This window comes from Homo sapiens, chromosome 12, assembly GCF_000001405.40.
Source record: "Homo sapiens chromosome 12, GRCh38.p14 Primary Assembly".
In the NCBI taxonomy this organism is placed as follows: domain Eukaryota; kingdom Metazoa; phylum Chordata; class Mammalia; order Primates; family Hominidae; genus Homo; species Homo sapiens.
Genome location: NC_000012.12, coordinates 71,644,333 through 71,663,855, shown reverse-complemented (window position 1 = coordinate 71,663,855; position 19,523 = coordinate 71,644,333). Strand labels below are relative to the sequence as shown.

Sequence of the window (19,523 nt, the reverse complement as noted above, 5' to 3'; positions counted from 1 at the left end):
AGGCGGAAGAACCCCGATCGCTGAGGAGCAAGGGGGCGCTAGGAAAGGGAACTGGGTTGCGACGGTCCGGCGAGAGAGAGCTGGGGTGCTGGGGTGCGGGGAAGTTGGGGAGCAGAGGCCGCTTGGTGTCCGAGTAGGGTAAGACCGCACCGACCCAGTCCGTTAGGAAAGAAGGGAAACGAGGCAATTGTCGGGCGGATCCCCGGACGGAGGGCTAAGGTTGTGTGGAAGGCGCTGCTCCCCGGATGGCGACCGCAGATACTCCGGCCCCGGCCTCCAGTGGCCTCTCGCCGAAGGAAGAAGGGGAGCTTGAAGATGGGGAAATCAGTGACGACGATAATAACAGCCAGATACGGAGTCGGAGCAGCAGCAGCAGCAGCGGCGGCGGGCTGTTACCCTATCCGCGGCGAAGGCCTCCTCACTCGGCCCGGGGCGGTGGATCTGGCGGAGGCGGTGGCTCTTCCTCGTCATCGTCCTCTTCTCAGCAGCAGCTGAGGAATTTCTCACGCTCGCGGCACGCGTCTGAGCGGGGCCACCTCAGGGGACCCAGCAGCTACCGACCCAAAGAACCGTTCCGGTCTCATCCGCCTTCTGTACGGATGCCTTCGAGCTCACTGTCCGAAAGCAGTCCCCGGCCGTCTTTCTGGGAGCGGAGCCACCTCGCCTTGGACCGTTTCCGCTTTCGAGGCAGGCCTTACCGGGGTGGGAGTCGCTGGAGTCGGGGGCGAGGAGTGGGTGAGCGAGGAGGCAAGCCGGGGTGCAGACCTCCTCTGGGAGGAGGAGCAGGATCCGGGTTCAGCAGCAGTCAGAGCTGGCGAGAGCCCTCTCCACCTCGGAAGAGCTGTATCCTTAACGTGGCGGTCGGCGCTGGGTGTGTCACTAAAGTTCCCTTTAGCGTCATTACTAGGTCTGTGAGACGAGTGTAACTTTGAATCATCAGAACCGCTTATTTCTCCCTGTGTCAGTATACTTTAAGTTGTTCTTTGGTAATTCCCCATGTGTCACACTATAGCGTTATTCTTAAGACTGCTTCATTGGGTATATTAACGTGCTGTGGATTGGGTTAAGCTTATGAAATCTAAGACAGTTAAGTCTGATTTGTAATAATACCTTAGAAGCCCAAGTTTCATTAGCATTTGTATTTTTGCTGGTACAGAAACTTTGTGTTTTATATGAAGTTGACTTGGATTGTTAGAGAAAAAATATTCATAAACAGTTTAAGTAATATTGTTGCTTTATCATATTGCAGTTTGACGTTGAAAATTGTAAAGTTTTAATCTGCACAGTCCTGCACTATTTTTGTGATTCTGTTTTTATCTTGATTTATTCCGGTTGCTGCCTTTTAAAGTGGGGGGGGGAGGGGTAAAAAAAAAACAACTCTGGTGTCTTTACCAAGTCTGTTTCAGAGCTTTTTGATTCATTTGATCTTTTTGGAACACTTTACCTCCTTTACGTTTCTATCTGTGTTCACTTTTGCACATTGTGTAACTTCGTGCTGACTAAATGAGGGCCAGAGAGAGAAAGATAAACTTATCAGCATTTTTATTTTAATACGTTAGAGTGGAGGAATGTGTATGCGAGGGTGGAGATTACGGGTAAGTTGAGAAAGGAAATAGTAACATTCCAGATTTTTCCTACTTCTAACCTTATTCTCAGTTTTAAACATTACTGAGTTTACTCAGCATTTATACAGAGGAATCAATCATCCGAAGGTTTCCTGTTTTATAATGGGTTTGTAAAACACTATCTTGACTTAATCTGTGATCATTGCAAAAATTGTTTAAAGACTTTCATTACTGGTTGTAATTCACATAGTGTGATGATTTTTAATTTCGTTATTATATATGAAACTTAAAAGTAATGACAGTTATTTGGAAGACAATCAGAATTACTTTTATAGAACACTTAGGTCCAGAATAGGTCTTTCTCAAATGTCATGATGTAAAAGGGGCAAGGAATGTACATTTAGGTGAGAAACAGCAGCTTCTGATGCTAGTTCCCTGAAAAACCTTACTTCTGCAACCAAAAGTTGGGTTAGGAGTATTTCAGGATTGTTTCGGAGAAAATCATGTAGGCGCCAGGCGTGGTGGCTCACGCCTGTAATCCCAACACTTTGAGAGGCCGAGGCGGTGGATCACTTGAGATCAGGAGTTCCAGACCAGCTTGGCCAACATGGTGAAACCTTGTCTCTACTAAAAATAAAAAAGTTAGCCAGGCGTGGTGTTGGGTGCTTGTATTTCCAGCTACCCGGGAGGCTGAGGCAGGAGAACCGATTGAACTCGGGAGGCAGAGTTGTAGTGAGCAGAGATTGCACCACTGCACTCCATCCTGGGCGGTAAAGCGAGACTCCGTTTCAAAAAAAAAAAAAAAAGGAAAATTATATAGATATTTAACTTTTTAAAAGCCAGCAAATGGTTCTTCCAAGAAGGTTAGAAAACCTCTGCCCACGGTGTTTCTTAATCCATGGATTTGTGGTCTATTTTGAATCCAAAAGCCAGAAAGGCTATTTAAGCATATATATGTGTATGGTTTTTATTTATTTATTTATTTATTTTTGAGACAGAGTCTCGCTCTGTCGCCCAGGCTGGAGTGCAGTGGTGTGATCTCGGCTCACTGCAAGCTCCGCCTCCCGGGTTCACGCCATTCGGCCTCAGTCTCCCGAGTAGCTGGGACTACAGGCGCCCGCCACCACGCCCGGCTAATTTTTTATATTTTTAGTAGAGACAGGGTTTCATCATGTTAGCCAGGATGGTCTCGATCTCCTGACTCCGTGATCCGCCCACCTCGGCCTCCCAAAGTGCTGGGATTACAGGCATGAGCCACCGTGCCCAGCCAATGTGGATGGTTTTTAAATTTTTTTAATTAAAAAAAATTTTTATTAAATTTATTTAAAAAAATTTTTTTTTGGGGAGACGAAGTCTTGCTATGTTGCCCAGGCTGATCTTGAACTTGTAGCTTCAAGAGATCCTCCTTCCTTAGACTCCCAAAGTGCTGGGATTTATAGGCGAGAGCCACCAGTTTATATGTGTTTTTTAAAGGTACAAAGATGAAACCTGTAGTTTGTATTAGGGAAACAAATGAAAATAAGTAGTTGCAGTTTAGTATAAAAAGTTGAAACTGAAGTATGTATATAAAAAAGTACTATGGGAGCTCAAAGGTTTTTCTTAAAATTTTTATTCTGTATTAGAAAAGGGGGAGGTGAGTGGGCTTTCTGCTTTTGTCCTCTTTCTGCGTGTTTATTCAATACTATTTTGGGCCTCTACCATAGACCTTTATTAATTGGTAAGCTTGCATGTTTTTATTAGTAAACTGGCATATGATGTTGCAAAAAAAAAAAAGTACCAGAAAATATCCAGTCTGCTTGTGTGACTTTGATTTCCGTAGTAACTTGTCATAAATAAGATATCTTGTTGTTTTTCTTTTCACAGATGCTGCACTTAAAAGGATGCTTGTTTTGATGTCCTGCTCATTGTTTTCCCTATGAAGTATCAGTAATCCATCCTAGAGGTGGTGTTCTTTTTAAGAATTTGAGAAGGAAAACGTAGTTCCCAGCTACTTTTATATAATGTGAGCAAACAAAATATTTGTTACAACACTTCATTCAAATTTATTTAATATCAAGGTTGTACTCAGTTTAATTCATATTTCCACTATGTGATTATAATAATACCTTTTTTATTTTACAAATACTGTATAAAGAAAGAATGCAGGTTACTCTGTGGCATATTTCTGTAATTTAGAAGTAAAGTAGCCTGAGTATAGGGTTTATTTCTATTTTTGCCATAACTCCTTTCACTGTAATAACTAAGATATGCTAGTTGCAACTTTAAAGAAATAGAATAAACTAGATTCAATTGCAGTTCTTATTTTCACCCTTAATTTTTCTTAATGATAGACACTTTGTCAGTACATCTTAGCATGTCTCCCTTGAATGACTACTCTTTTAAACTTTCAAATCTGAGGAGAGCTAACATAATTAGGCTAGTGTCTCTCATCAGTAAAAAGTCATTCCATTTTCAGCTGCAGCTGAAAAGGTTGAATAGCACTTCTTTTTGTTTAAACCAAGGTTCAGTTAGAAATTGTATCTTGACAAGCTTAAAATTAAATCTGGTAAGTGTTGGTTTGATCTTAGGCTTCTGTATAGATAGGGATAGATTTTCTTTAGCCTTGAAGGAGATTAGTCAGTTATAGTTGTAACTCAATTGCTTTTCCTTATTTTTCTATTTAGCATTTTTGTTAGTGTATTTAATCATTTCCCTTTCTTTTCTTTTTTTTTTAATTGCAGTTGTGCCTTTAAATGGCTCCAGTGAAAAGTAAGATGTAAATGCAGATAATTACAGAACTTACATACAAAGAGTGTGTAAGAGGGGAAGGGAGAGTGAGAAACTCAGGCTTCACAGAGGTGACACTTGAATTGGGGTTAAGTTGAAGAACAGACAAACTTAGACACAAAGCTATGCAAAAATTGTGATGAACAAGGAAAAAGTAAGTTTGGAAAGGAAAGCACAGGTCAGATTATATTTATTCTCAGGATTTTGGACTTTTTTATTAGGGAAATTTAAACAAGGGGAATGATCTTATATTTGTATTCTAGAAAGATTACTCTGGCAGCAGCAGTATGAAGGATGGCTTGTAGGAGATAAGAGAAATATCTTATCACCAGGGTAAACTCTCCTGTGGTAGGTAAAACTGTGGAGGTGCATTAGAATGCTCAAAATGAGAAAGAGGCTAAGTAGTGCTCCCTGAAGAGCACCATTATTTCACAAGTTAGAGAGAAAAGACTCAATGGAGACTTAAAAGACAAAACACAAATAGGGAAACAAAGGGAGATGCGGAGTTATGGAAGCCAAGAGAGAAGTGGTTTATGGTGTCAGATTCTCAGAGGGGTCAGGTAAAAAAAAATAAAGTTTGAAAACATTGATAGGGAAACTTAGCCACAGCAGTCTCTCTAGATTAATGGGACAGAAACCAGATTCCATTTGGTAAGAAGGGTACAGAGAAACTAGTTTTCTTTCAGGATACTTGGCTTTGAAGAGATCAGAGAACCAGAGATTTACTAGAACAGTTTTGCTGTAGAACTGTTAAGATTTTCAGATGTACTTATTGCTTATTTTTGTTTCTTAGATGATGGTAATTCTCATTTTTAGAACTGGTCATCAGGAGAGTTTAAAAACCTTTTCTGCTGCTTGCCCTGTGAGGTGTTTAAACAGAAGAACCGTATTTGGGGTACTGTATTTTACATCCTAGCCAACTGAAAATAATCTATAGGCTGGGTGCAGTGGCTCACACCTGTAATCCCGGCACTTTGGGAGGTCAAGGTGGGCGGATTACCTGAGGTCAGGATTTCAAGACCAGCCTTGTCAACATGGTGAAACTCCATCTCTACTAAAAATACAAAAATTAGCTGGGCATGGTGGCACGCACCTGTAATCCAAGCTACTCAGGAGGCTGAGACAGGAGAATTGCTTGAGCCTGGGAGACGGAGGTTGCAGTGAGCCGAGATCGCACCACTGCACTCCAGACTGGCTGACAGTGCGAGACTCTGTCTCAAAAAAAAAAAAAAAAAAAAAAAATCTATAAATGATGTATTAAAACCACAGGAGGTACTGTCTTTTCTCTTGCTAATATCTGGCCTGGAAAAATGAGGTATAACAATTCTCGTGTATGAATTGTTTAGAATAAAAATTGTAGTTTGAAATTTTGTAGCTGTTTCTAAGGAAAAAGTTACCTTTTGTGTATCACTGTGTTAGAGAAGAAAGTAAGAACAGTTGCTTCAGATTATTTTCATAACATTTTCCCTTGTCTGTAGGAGAAAAATAGATATATTTTGAGTACTATTTTAAAGTGTTTTTTTTTTTCTTTTTTTTGAGATGAGGTCTCCCTCTGTTGCCCAGGCTGGAGTGCAGTGGTGTGATCTTGGCTCCCTGCAACCTCCGCCTCCTGAGTTCAAGCAATTCTCTTGCCTCAGCGTCTCAAGTACCTGGGACTACAGGCCTGCACCACCACGCCTGGCTAATTTTTTAATTTTTAGTAGAGATGGGGTTTCACTGTGTTGGCCAGGCTGGTCTCAAACTCCTGACCTCAAGTGATCCTCCTGCCTCGGCCTCCCAAAGTGCTGGGATTACAGGCGTGAGCCACCGCGCCTGGCCCCCTGAAGTGTAAACTATCCGCATCTGTGACAAAGCATTCAGTTTCTCCCCTCTTCCTTCAGAAAATAATCTCTAACATACAGCTAATTATGGACTTTCCTGGCACAGAAGGAATGATGCTATAACCTAACTAGGTGGACTGTCTGTGGATACTACTGGTAATTATGACACTAGTGATTTTGTAAGTGGACTGTTTATATGGTACTTACTAAATTCAAATATGGGCACGTAATGAAAGTGGGCATTAGCTGCACATACATTAAATGGAATTTAGTAATTTAAAAATATCGATTCATTTTTCTTGAAAAATTAAAAAGGGAGAAAATTCATCTATAATCTAAGTTTTTTTGTTAAATTTAACTGTGGAAAATTTTTGGAAACTGGTTTCCTTAATATGCTGTTCAGCCAAAAGTTTTGGAAGGTCTCCATCAAGAAAACAAAATTATTCATCAAAAAATGAAAACTGTGTGGAAGAAACTTTTGAAGATTTGCTTTTAAAGTATAAACAAATACAGTTGGAACTAGAATGCATCAATAAGGATGAAAAACTAGCATTGAGTAGCAAAGAAGAGAATGTGCAGGAAGATCCTAAAACATTGAACTTCGAGGACCAAACTAGCACTGATAATGTCAGTATTACAAAGGATTCAAGTAAAGAAGTAGCTCCTGAGGAGAAAACACAAGTCAAAACTTTTCAGGCATTTGAATTAAAACCACTCAGGCAAAAATTGACTTTACCAGGAGATAAGAACCGTTTGAAAAAAGTTAAAGATGGAGCAAAACCACTTTCCCTGAAATCCGACACTACTGATTCTAGTCAAGGTAATGGAATTAAATATTTCAGTTAGTAATGACTCTTCTTCCTCTAAAGTAGTAACTACTTGTTTTGGCAGTGTACTTCATTGAAATGATTGTAATTATCTGTAAATTCTTTTGTACTTTCTATGTAGACATTCATATCATTGAATAATTACTAATTTTGTTTACTTTTAGTCTTTATTTATTTATTTATTTTTTGCCTGACATTCTGGCCTCTATAATAGAATGTTATACATAAGTGATAATAGTGGACACCTTTGTTTCCTAATTTAAAGAAAATGGTTTTGACATTTACCATTAAATATGATGTTAATTTTTTTGTAGGTATCCCTTATCGGGTAAAGGAGGGTTTTACTCCTATTCCTGGTTTGAAATTTTCAGCGTGAATGGATGTTGAAGTTTACAAAATCTGTTTTCTTCATTATTGGGATGAGCATCTAATTTATTTTAATTTGTTAGTGTAATGAATTATATAATTTATTTCTAGTATTAAACCACCCTTGTATGCTTGCGTTTAATACAGTTTATGATATACCATTTTTAAATCATGGATTTGGCTTGTTTTTTCTTTTCCTCTTTATTAAGATATAATTTATATACAGTAAAATTTATCTTTTAACATTATAAATGAATAAGTGTGTAGTTCTTCAGGTTTTGACAAATGTAGACAGTGGGTAACCATCACCAGCTACCATTAAGATACAGAATTCTTTCATCAACCTCAAACAGTTTCTCCAAGTGTCTTTGTAGTTATCCCGTCCCTCAGCCCTTAGTTCACCTGGTAACCACTGATCTGTCCCTATAGTTTTGCCTTTTCCAGAATGTCACACTAATGGAATCATACAGTATATTGCCTTTCATTATAGCTTCTTTCATTGAGCATAATGTGTTTGAAATTCATTCATGTAATTGTATATGTCAGTAGTTCTGTGTATCCCATCATACTGTAGTTCATCCATTTCCCAATTATGTTTGGGTTTTTCCAACTTTCGGCTATTACAAATGAAGGTTTGCTAGTGTTTTGTTTAGAATTTTTTATGTGTTCAGAGCCTGTAATTTCCCCCCCCTCTTTTTCCTTGACAGTTTTTAGTGTAAGGTTATAATACTCAAATTAGTTGGGGCTGTTTTCATCTTTATTCTCTGTAATAGTTTAAGATTGGAAACATTCTGAGATACTTGGTAGATCTTGCTGATAAAAGTGTCTGGGCCTGGGTGGAGTTTTTTTCTGAGAAAGTTTTAATCTAACTTCGTGTTTTCTATTTCTGTTAAGACAGTTTATGTAAACTCTATATTTTTTGTAATGTGTCTATTTCCTGTAAGTTACAGAAGTTATAAAAATTGTTCTTAAGAATCCTTTACTTTTTTATCTGTAGTATTTATAAGTTGTACCTTTTTTTTCCCTGCTCTCTTCTTTAATTTACCCTGAAATAAGTACATAAGTTTTTAAACTCAGTTTTCAGCCTCTCTCCTATTAAGATCATTTTAGGCCATAAAGTTTGACTTTAGTTCTGTCTCAAGTTGGGTTATTTAACTTTTTTCATTCATTCTGAATATTTTCTAATTTTTATTTTTCATTGACTTGTAGGCTGCTTGGAAGTATGTTTCTTCTAAACATGTAGGTTGTCTAGCAGTATTTTTTATTGATATCTAAGTCAATCATACTGTCAGAAAATAAGATTGCTATGATAACCAATCTTTTGAAATACTTGGAGACTTCCTTTATTGTCCAGTATGTAATCAGTTTTTTGTAAGAGTTCTGTGTATGTTTGAAATGAATTTATAGATTACTTGAGCTTTTTGTGTTGTTCACTTTTTTTATTTTTTGATATGCTTGATCAGTTACTAAGAGGAGTTTGTTAAAATTTGCCAGTATGATGATGGATTTGTGATTTTTACTTTTTGCTTTAAATACTTTGAAGGTGGGTAATTGAGTCATTATGTAGTGACTTTATCTCTGATGTTTTTGCCTAAAAGACTATTTTGTCTTATATTAATAGCCACATCATCTTTCTCTTTATATAATTTCCCACTCTTTCAGTCTTTCTGTATCCTCATGTCTCGGATATTACTTGTACATAGTATAGAGCTGGTTTTAATTTATAATTCAGTATGACAATCTTTGTCCTTTAGCTTGAACGTATAGTCTACTCACATTTTTTATGATTATTGACATTTGGTTTTATTTCTTCTTCTTTTTTTTCTTTTTAGGCTCTTATTTTTCTTCACACAATTTTTTTTCATTTGCTAGTTTGGAAGTTGGATACTAAATTTCTGGTCTTATATTCCTACCAGTGTTTAAAGTTAATCAGGAACCTTACTCTTTCCCCGAAATACAAAGAATGATATTTGCTTAGCTTTGCCTATATATTTAGCACTTTCTTGGCTCACTCTTTGTATCATGTCTGGAATTATATATGTATAAATATATTCTCTGTGTGTGTGTGTTTTAGATAAGATCTCACTGTGTTGCCCAGGCTAGAGTGCAGGAGTATGATCATGACTCAGTGCAGCCTTGACCTCCTGGGCTCAGGTGATCCTCCCACCTCAGCCTTCTGAGTTGCTGGGACCACAGGCATGTACTACCATGCCCGGCTATGTTTTAAAAATTTCTGTAGAGACGGGGTCTCAGTATGTTGTCTAGGCTGGTCTCAAACTCCTGGGCTCAAATGATCCTCTTGCCTTAGCCTCCTAAAATGCTGGGATTACAGGTGTGAGCCACCATGCTCTGTGCTTAAATACATTCTTTAGACTTTTTTTTTAAAAATGTGTTTTTGCTGGGTGGAAAACGATTTCCGTTTACTCTTTTTAAAAGATATTTTCCCTGGGTTTAGAATTCTAGGTTGTTTAATTATATGCTTTTTGTTTGTTTGTTTTTGAGACAAAGTCTTTCCCTGTCATCCAGGCTGGAGTGCAGTGGCACTATCTTGGCTCATTGCAACCTCCGCCTCCTGGGTTCAAGTGATTCTCATGCCTCAGCTTCCTGAGTAGCTGGGACTATGGTACATGCCATTGCGCCCGGCTAATTTTTGTATTTAGTGGAGCTGGGGTTTCGCCATGTTGGCCAGTCTGGTCTCAAACTCCTGGCCTGAAGTGATCCGCCTGCCTTGGCCTCCCAAAGTGCTGGGATTACAGGCATGAGCCACCACACCCAGCCCCTAATTATATTCTTACTGACAATATTTTCTGGCTTCCATTGTTGATTTTCAAAACTCATCTATCAGTCTTAATGGTTTCCAATTTGAAGATAATCTTTTTTCTTTGGTTGTTTTAAAGATCCTTTTTGTCTTTGATATTCTGTAGTTGAACTGTGTGATGTGCTGATTGTAGATTTCTTTTTATGTATCCAGCTTGGAATTTGTTGTTTCTTGAATCTGGATTGGATCTTGCAGTGGTTCTGAAAAAATGATCATTATCTCTTAGAATATTATCCCATTCTCTCTCTTTTTTGGAACTCTGTATAGATGTATGTTATGTTAAGTCATCATACTTTATCTTTCATGTCTCTTCATTTCTCTAAGTTTCTGTCACTTTGTAATTGACAAATTCTGGAAAATTTCCTCTGATACATCTTTCGTTTTACTGATTCTCTCTTCTGCTGTATTCGATTTGCCTTAAGCCCACTTACTGAGTTTTACATTTCAATTACAGTTTTTGTTTTACTATTTCATTTTTGTTTTGTTTTCAAATCACTTTGATCATTCTTTCCACTTTTCTTCTCCCTGCTTATATTTTCAGCTTTATCTTTGTTTCTTTAAACAAATTAACCATAGGTCTGTTTTGTTTTATCTCCTATCCCTGCTAATTTTCAGTATCTCAGGTCTTTGGGGGTTTGATTTCTGATGTTTGTTTTGTTATTACTCATTTTTGGTACTTTCTTTTCTTGAACATTTAGTGATTTTGTTTTGTTGTAATATGAGATGGTCGTTGTTTTTTTTTGAATTTTAGTGGTGGGAAGTTTTTGAGACCTGGGACAAAGATGCATTCCCCAGAGAGAATTTGCTAAAGACTTCAGCCTTGGAATCAGTTCAACCCTCACTGGCTGTCCATATGGTGTGAATTTGGTTGCAGACCTAAGTGATGATTATTTTGGGTTGCACATTCTCAGGGAGATGCCTTTCTTTCCCCTCTTCAATTTAGTACTATGATTCTACACAAGCAGTTTTGAGAAGTATAACACAGAGGGATAGAAAAGACACAAATCTCTATCATGGAGTATAATATGAGTTATGTGTGAAAGCCTGGAGTAACACGGGAAGGATTAAATATCCTCACCTGGATTTAGAAAGGTTTCATAGAGATGTAAATGTTTGATATACATCTGGAAAGATGAATCTTTTCCACTGGGGAAGTCAGAAGGAATCAAATGAGTAGACAGGCACAGAGGGCTTTTTAAGGGCATTGAGATTAATCAAATATGTGTGCAGTGTGAGAGATAACGGTATTTTTTTGGTGAGTGGTTGGACATAAAATTATAAAAGGACAGGTTAGTGTTGGATTGGGAAGGCCTTTAATATTTTGCTAAAGAATTTGAATTTTGTCTTTTAAACGTTGGGTGGGCTATTAAATATTTTTAAGCAAGAAAATGATGTGATCAGATGTGTGTTTTGGAAAAATAACTGGCATCAGTATGGAAGAGTGATTGGAGGAAAATCAAAGGAACTAAAATGTCATCTGAATCAGTAAATTATATATATAAATGTTTCTACATGTATATTTCCCCACCAATCCTCAGCAAGACTCTACTGTCAAACTTATGTTATTGGTGAGCCTTTTTTCCATATCTCTTGACAACTCTTCTATACCTTCATAATTTTTGCAGGCCTTTTACTCAACCTTTATTATTGTCCGTATACAAGCTTGCTTCTTATTGGAGGTGATCACACTCAATTCCAGCTTTTCACTTTCTGACCATAAACTTGTTTGTAATCCATATCAGTTTTCACTTCAGTTCTTTCACCCTGAGGGTAACGACTGTCTTGTTCATGGCCATTTTGTTTTAACTTGTTCTCCTGGCTCTAACTTCTGCCTTCTCTGGGACCTTGCTTTATTTATTCTGCTTTATCTTGAACCATTGTCTCCTTAGGGTGTTCTTAATATATTTGACTTTTCCATCCAAAAATGGAAATCCTCTTCCACCTCATCCTACATTCTCTCTTAAATTATGTCAAGTATTCTTCCTCTTTTCAATAAGACTTCTGAGAGGTCTAGTCGGTACCAGCTTTTGACTTTACTTCTCATTGCCTTATTAGCCCAATACAGTTTGCTTTTCTACCCCCATCACAATACTGAAACTACTCATGGTAGTTTTCTGTGACCTAATTGCAAATTTTAGTGGATGTTTTTTATTTCATTCTTCCATTTATTCAAAAATTAGTTGAGCACTTTATTCCAGGCTCTTGGAAATAAATTGGTGAACAAAATAGTCACTTATGTTTTCATGGGCTTACATTTTAGAAGGCAAAACAGTAAACATGATGTGTAAATTAACTGTTATGAAAGAGAAAAAGTATAGCAGGGTAGGTAGGAAAGGGTTATTGAGGATACAGGTTGCAGCACTAATAGGGTGGTCAGCATGGTGTCTATTTGAAGGTGAGATTTAAAGAAAGACTTTGAAGACAGTAAAGGAATAGCCAAATGGATATCTGGTGGAAGAGGCTCCTATGCAAAAGGAATAACTAGAGCAGTGATTTTCAAAGTGTGGTTCCTGGGGACTGCGTTATCTGGGAACTTGACAGAACACAAATTCTCAGTCTCTACCTTAGATCTATTGAACTGGGAGCTCTGCAAATGGGGCCTAGCAATCTGTATTTAACCAGCCCTTCTGTTGATTCTGCTACATGCTGAAGTTTGGGCATCGCTGAACTAGAGAAATGACCATAATACAGAAAGATGCCTGACATGTTTGGGGAATAACAAGGAGTCCTGTGCTAATACAGGAGAGTGAGGGGAATGAATAATGGGAGAGAAGGGATTAGAGATGGCAGGAGGGGGCAGATCTTATAGACAGAGCCTTGTAAGAACTTTGTTTTTTTATTCCTAATGAAATGGGGAGCTCTTACAGGGTTTTGAGCAAAGGACTGACATAATCTGTTTTATATTTTTAAGGCATCACTCTGGCTGCATTGCTGAGAATATTCTATTGGGGGTAGACATCTCTACTATATTCAGTGATATGTTTCTTCCCTTGAAATTTTGGGATTTCTGCAATGGATTTTAAAAATAACTTTCTGATTTTTGTTTTCTGTCTTTTGTTTGTTTTAAATAATTACTTTTCCTGTGTAATTTCTTAATTCGTCATGTCCTCAGTGTCCCATTTTCTAGGGATATTCTCATTATTATGGTTTTAACTACTACCTGTGTGCTGGTGACTTTGGCTCACATTAGACTTTCAGTTGGTAATATTTTAAATACTGTGTGACAAGAACAGTGTTCATTTTGGAGGTTTTGAGTAAAACTTGAGATAATTTTATTGTACAGACCTATGACAGTGGTAGAACAATGTCTAGCTACCCATTTGATCAGTTTAAACCTGCATTTATAATCTTTGTGTAAAGTTATATTTATTGTCTGAAATTTGTATTTATTGAATTTATTGTATTTATTAATTTTTTTTTGAGACGGACTCGCTCTGTTGCCCAGGCTGGAGTGCAGTGGTGTGATCTCAGCTCACTGCAAGCTCCACCTCCCAGGTTCACACCATTCTCCTGACTCTCACTGTGTTGCCCAGGCTGGAGTGCAGTGGCGTGATCTCGGCTCACGGCAGGCTCCACCTCCCAGGTTCACACCATTATTCTGCCTTGGCCTCCCGAGTAGCTGGGACTATAGGTGCCTGCCACCACGCCTGGCTAATTTTTTGTATTTTTGGTAGAGACAGGGTTTCACCATGTTAGCCAGGATGGTCTCGATCTCCTGACCTCGTGATCCACCCGCCTTGGCCTCCCAAAGTGCTGGGATTACAGGCATGAGCCACCACACCCAGCCTATTGTATTTATTTTTAAGGTAGCAATGTAGTCATAAGGTACCTGCTATGTTAATAGATACTTGCCTCTATGCTACGTTAAAGGGAGGTGCTGCCATTTTTTATAGACAAGTGAGATCCTAATCAACCAGTAGATTTCTCATGACTTAATGAAACTCATAAGTTTCTCATGTAGGAGAATAATTTAGTGTTTAATGTTTCCCTGTTTATTTTTGTATAATAGTTATTACTATTCTGTTGTTTTTAAAAGCGTGATCATTTTTTCTACAGTGGGACATATGCATTTCCCAAAATTACCACACTGCAAAATTATGCAATAAAAACAATAGGGTGTGTGGAGAAAATGGGGTTAGAGGAACAACACTCAAAAACTTTGTCCGTGGCATATAAAAAAAAGATAGGAATAAATGAAAAATGATAGCACAGCTTTGCATGTGAAATGGAGAAAAAAAGTGTGAAATATTAAAGTAAACATGTCAGCATTCCATAAAATAGACCTGAAGTACACCTGTGGAAGTGGAATATTTGCTACTTATGAGTTATTATGAAGTAAAACAAGGAGTGTTACCTGAAATCAGACAGTAAATTGTAATACCAGATGTGGATGGCTGTGGCTTATAACACACGCAATGAACTTGGGTATTTGATAGATGTTTGAAGTATATGTTGTTTGTGTATTCCTACATGGCTCAGATCACTTGGGTGCAGTTTTCTGCATTCTTAGTGTTTCTCTGAGACAAATCACACATAAGTAAATATAAATTTGTGTTATGCTCAAATTCTTTTCTTTTCTTTTCTTTTTTTTTTTTTTTTTTTGAGACAAGAGTCTTGCTCTGTTACCCAGGATGGAGTACAGTGGTACAATCTCAGCTCACTGCAACCTCCACCTCCCGGGTCCAAGCGATTCTCCTGCCTCAGCCTTCCGAGTAGCTGGGACTACAGGCGTGCACCACCATGCCTGGCTAATTTTTTGTATTTTCAGTAGAGACAGAGTTTTGCCATGTTGCCCAGGCTGGTCTTGAACTCCTGACCTCAGGTGATCCACCCGCCTCGGCCTCCCAAAGCACTGGGATTGCAGGCATAAGCCACTGTGCCTGGCTGCTCGAATTATTTTCTAATGTATCAGTCATGTTGCAACAAATTCACATTTATAGACTAAGCCTTTCAACAGAACTCATTTGTCTTGAAATTTGGTCATTGCCTTCTATTTACATTGATTTAGATGCTAGATTAGTCATTTATTTATTGAATAAGTCACGTATTCTTTGGTTCACTTGAGCAGTCAAATTAGGATGTTTGGAACATTGACAGGTGTGGTGTTATGGTAAAAACACCAGACTTAAAATTAAGATCTAGTTTAAATCCTAGCTTTGCAATTTCAGTTTTGTCATCTTAAGGAAAGATTTCTGAGTTTTTAACATAATCTGTTTTAGCTACAAAAGTATCTCAACAGGATTGTAGATATTCTGTAACTTTATCATGTGATGTTTAAAGCTGTTGTAGATTAGGTAATATATAAATGTAAGATTTTGTACATTATTTCATCAGTCATCTGGGCCCAAGGCTAGATATCTGGAAAAAATGTATGGATGGACTTAATTTTATTGATACTTAAGCTGCCTCTACTGATGCTTTTCTAGGTAAATGACCAATTCTCTAATGCACAAATCCAATACAGTCTGTAAACATTGCATTCATTCCAATTTAGAGGACTGGATTAATTTAGTCATCATTATATTCTATCAGTGTGGATAATCCACTTGGTAATTAAGTGTTGCTGCTTGTTTCTATGCTTTATAAATTCTCTTCTCATTTGAAGTGACTATTTCTAGTTCAGAAGTCATTTTATTAAAAGTGTGGCTTTATTTTAATATTTTGAATCATTTTGCCTTATAACTTTGAGGAATGAGGCTGATAAGAGTTTGTTCAGATTTTCATTCTCTTTAATGGTATTTCCTTTTGGTTGAGAGATTGAGAAAATGAGACCCTTTAATGATCTCTTTTAAAATAATTACCAGATATTATATAGGATTATTTTATTTTAGATTGTGGCTATCTTTTGGATTATTCAAAAGATATTATTTTATTTTAAAGGATTACAAGATAAAGAACAAAATTTAACAAGAAGAATTAGTACCTCAGATATTCTGTCTGAAAAGGTAAGATACTGCTTTGTGAGACTATCATCTCTGTAAGACCCATTTTTGCATTGCTTTATTTTGTTCTTTTGTAAGGGAAGTCTATCTTACTTTCACTTATTTTCTTTCATCATTCCTATAACTCCATTTGGACATAAGCCTTAAAGAAATTCTGGATCGACATCTTGCAGTCTCTTTTCCCTGGGTTCTGCAAATTATGTTTAATTAAAGTGTTATATATATTCATACGGGATCTTTTTTTTAATCATTTGTTTTTTGAAACCTTTAATTTTGATCCAGATATTTTCTCCATTTTTTGTGTGTTATCCTGTGTGGGTAAGCTTTTGGAGTAAGGTAGACCTTCACCTGGTGTCAAATTCTACCTCCACTTCTTGTTAACTGAGTGACTTTGTATAAACTATTTAGCCTTTGCTTGCTTCTATATTCTTTTCTACAAACTGAACTTAATGTCTTCTGTTATCTGGGTTGTTGTGAGGTTTCAGTAGAATGAAACACAGAAGCCTCAAGCACTGTGTTTGACGTATAACAGGCACTCAATAACCCAAGCCTTTTCAATTTGTTGAATTAGAGATCTGAAATATCTGTAGTTTTTTTCTTTTGAGATTTCAGTTTGTTTTTTTGCATAAATTGAAATGATTTAAATAGTCTAGGAGCTTTAGGAAAAAGATGGCCCTGAATTTAGAAATGATAATATAACGTACACATACACATTTTTTAATACCCTCACAATAACCCTATGAATCAAGTTGACATTATATACATTTTGTAGATGAAGTAAGAGTCATTTGAGTAGATTAAGTGACTTGCCTAAAGTTACATAGGAATTAAGTGTCAGAGCAAGTAATTTAATGAGCTTGTCTGACTAGTGGGAACTAACGAGCTTAGCTCTGTGCTCTTGCTGTTCAAGTAGCTACCTCACGTAGCATATAGGTGGGTGACAGAATCAGTGGTTTCTTTCATTCCAAAGAGAGTAGTTGCAAAAAGTAATCAAAAGTGTCACTGGGCGTGGTGGCTTATGCCTGTAATCCCAGCACTCTGGAAGGCTGAGGTAGTTTGATCACTTTAGCTCAGGAGTTTGAGACCAGCCTGGGCAACATAGTGAGATCCAAAGTTGAAAAAAATTAAATAATTTAAAACAAGAAAACAAAAAGACTTTGTCTCAATGGAACAGTGAGGATAGCTTTATTTTAGTTAAACTCTGTACATGAGTACTGTTTAATAGAATTTTCTACAATAATGGAAATGTTTTATAGCTGAATTCTCCAATATGGTAGCTGTTAGCTACATGTGGCTATGAAGAACTTGAAAAGTGATTAGTGTGGCTTAGGTACAAATTTTTAAATTCAGTTTTGGTTGATTTAAATTCAGATAGCCACATGTGGCTCATTGCTACCATATTGAACAGCACAGCTCTAGAATTTCAGTACTAGGTAATAGAATTTGATACGTTTAAGTGACGTAGAATTTAAAAAAGAACCATAATAATTTTAAAATTATTGCTTACATGTACTTACCAACAGTGGAAAAGGTAACTGTCTTGGTTTGGTTAAACTGAAGTACTGAAGTGTATGACAGTAGTTTAGGGCTTATAGTAGTTCATATTCAGGTGAAATCATTAGTTAGTATCCACTGTTTTCTTTATGTTTAACAATAGAAAGAATTTAATTGGATTTTAGGAGAAAATATAATTACAATTTACCTATAAGAAAAAGTTATTAGATAAGTGGGCCTTAATCTTTTGGAATCTTTTTTGACTCTTCCTTTCCCTTCCATGCACATACATAAAGAAAAAAGAGGGTTTGTGTTTAACTTCAGGGGTGGGGAAGCCAAAGCTATCCTCCCACCCCTTATTAAAGTCCATGGACTCTAATTAAAAACCTCTAGGGAGCCTGACATTTTTCAGTTCTATTTTTGCTATAATGGAGAGAACAGATTAATTTTTTAAACTATTTCGAAAGTGAAATGCAAAAGTTATTTCAATTGGAAAAAAGTTCTCAGACATCTGCTTTTAACATTATTGTCCTGTTTTAGCTTTCCTGAAGAAAAGTCTTGTCTGTTCAAAATATATAAAATATTCAGATAAATATCTGTAGCCTTAGAACACATAACAGTCAGCTGTAAGCAAATCTCTATAGATTTTTCCCTTCAATAGTAATTTAAAGAATTAAAAAATATACACATAAAAGAAAATTTGTAAGTTTGAATCTTGACATTCAGTGTGTCTGTTGTTCTCTATTACTGGTGAGGCCAGCAAATCACATGATCAGGGAACCACTTCCTTCTTCTTTCCTTACCTCTCCTGGGTCTTGATTTCTTCATTGCATTTGCTGCCATCAGACTTTTACTCTTTCCGGTTTGGGAAGCCCTTTTAAATGTTAGCTACTAACTCTTTTCTTTTTTGCATTATCGTGTTCTATCAGTTGTACCGCCTTACCAACCCTACATTACATATATACACATACCTTCTGCAGACTCATCTTCTATTCGTATTTTAGGAATTACATTAGAGTCTCAGGCTGTGGGAAGTAAATTAGTTTACTTATTTTATCTGTATTTGCCTTGTCATATTTGCCTTCACACTTCAAATTTTTATCATAAAGGATTTGACTTGATGAAATGTGTAAGCTAAATAATAGAATTAAAAAATTTTAGCTCTTTCTTTTTGCTTTAAAGAAACTTGGTGAAGATGAAGAGGAACTATCTGAATTACAGCTTCGCCTTTTGGCTCTTCAGTCAGCCAGTAAAAAATGGCAACAAAAAGAACAGCAGGTGATGAAAGAAAGCAAAGAAAAGTTGACTAAGACGAAAACTGTACAGCAAAAAGTTAAAACAAGTACAAAAACACATTCGGCCAAAAAAGTTAGCACTACAGGTGATCATTTTTATTAAATTCTTGTGTTTTTGTTTTGTTTTCTTTTCTTTTGTTTTTTGAGACAGAGTTTTGCTCTTGTCGCCCAGGCTGGAGTACAGTGGCATGATCTTTGCTTACTGCAACCTCCACCTCCCAGGTTCAGGCGATTCTCCTGCCTCAGCCTCCCAAGTAGCTGGGATTACAGGCGCCCACCACCACGCCTGGCTAATTTTTTGTATTTTTAGTAGAGACGGGGTTTGGCGGTGTTGGGCTAACTGGTCTCAAACTCCTGACGTCAGGTGATCCACTCGCCTCAGCCTCCCAAAGTGCTGGGATTACAGGCGTGAGCCACTGCCTGTTAAATTCTTTTAGTTGAATTTATGTGTAAGTATAGTTTTGAGATTTTAATTCAGAGTTTTGAGTTTGGGGAATTACAGGGCCCTAAAATGGAAGACAATCTTATATAAACAACTTAGGAGCATCATCACTGATTAATCAATAATGAAAATATTTTTTAAGACTCTTATTTTTCTTTTATCTCCTAACAGATGCTAATGTTTATGTG

General features: G+C 37.1%; 1 protein-coding gene across 2 annotated transcripts in view, besides 1 other annotated feature; it reads left to right on the top strand.

The window, feature by feature from the left end:
• The window catches only part of ZFC3H1 (zinc finger C3H1-type containing), a 54,250-nt gene continuing 34,734 nt past the window's right edge, over positions 8-19,523 (top strand). Inside the window, exons 1-4 of one of the 2 annotated variants that reach the window (NM_144982.5) lie at positions 8-843; positions 6,555-6,971; positions 16,043-16,107; positions 18,781-18,979. In NM_144982.5, coding sequence (NP_659419.3) covers positions 246-843; positions 6,555-6,971; positions 16,043-16,107; positions 18,781-18,979 — 1,279 coding nt within the window. In that variant the 5' untranslated portion in view covers positions 8-245. Of the gene's footprint in view, positions 844-1,033; positions 3,486-6,554; positions 6,972-16,042; positions 16,108-18,780; positions 18,980-19,523 lie in introns of those variants that run through there. The other variant, XM_047428485.1, reaches the window with a different exon arrangement.
• Positions 266-385: an enhancer, noted in NCBI's record as "active region_6659". NCBI's record gives its function as "activates an Ori minimal core promoter by ATAC-STARR-seq in GM12878 lymphoblastoid cells {active_cell/tissue: GM12878}" and the evidence as "EXISTENCE:reporter gene assay evidence [ECO:0000049][PMID:35858748]".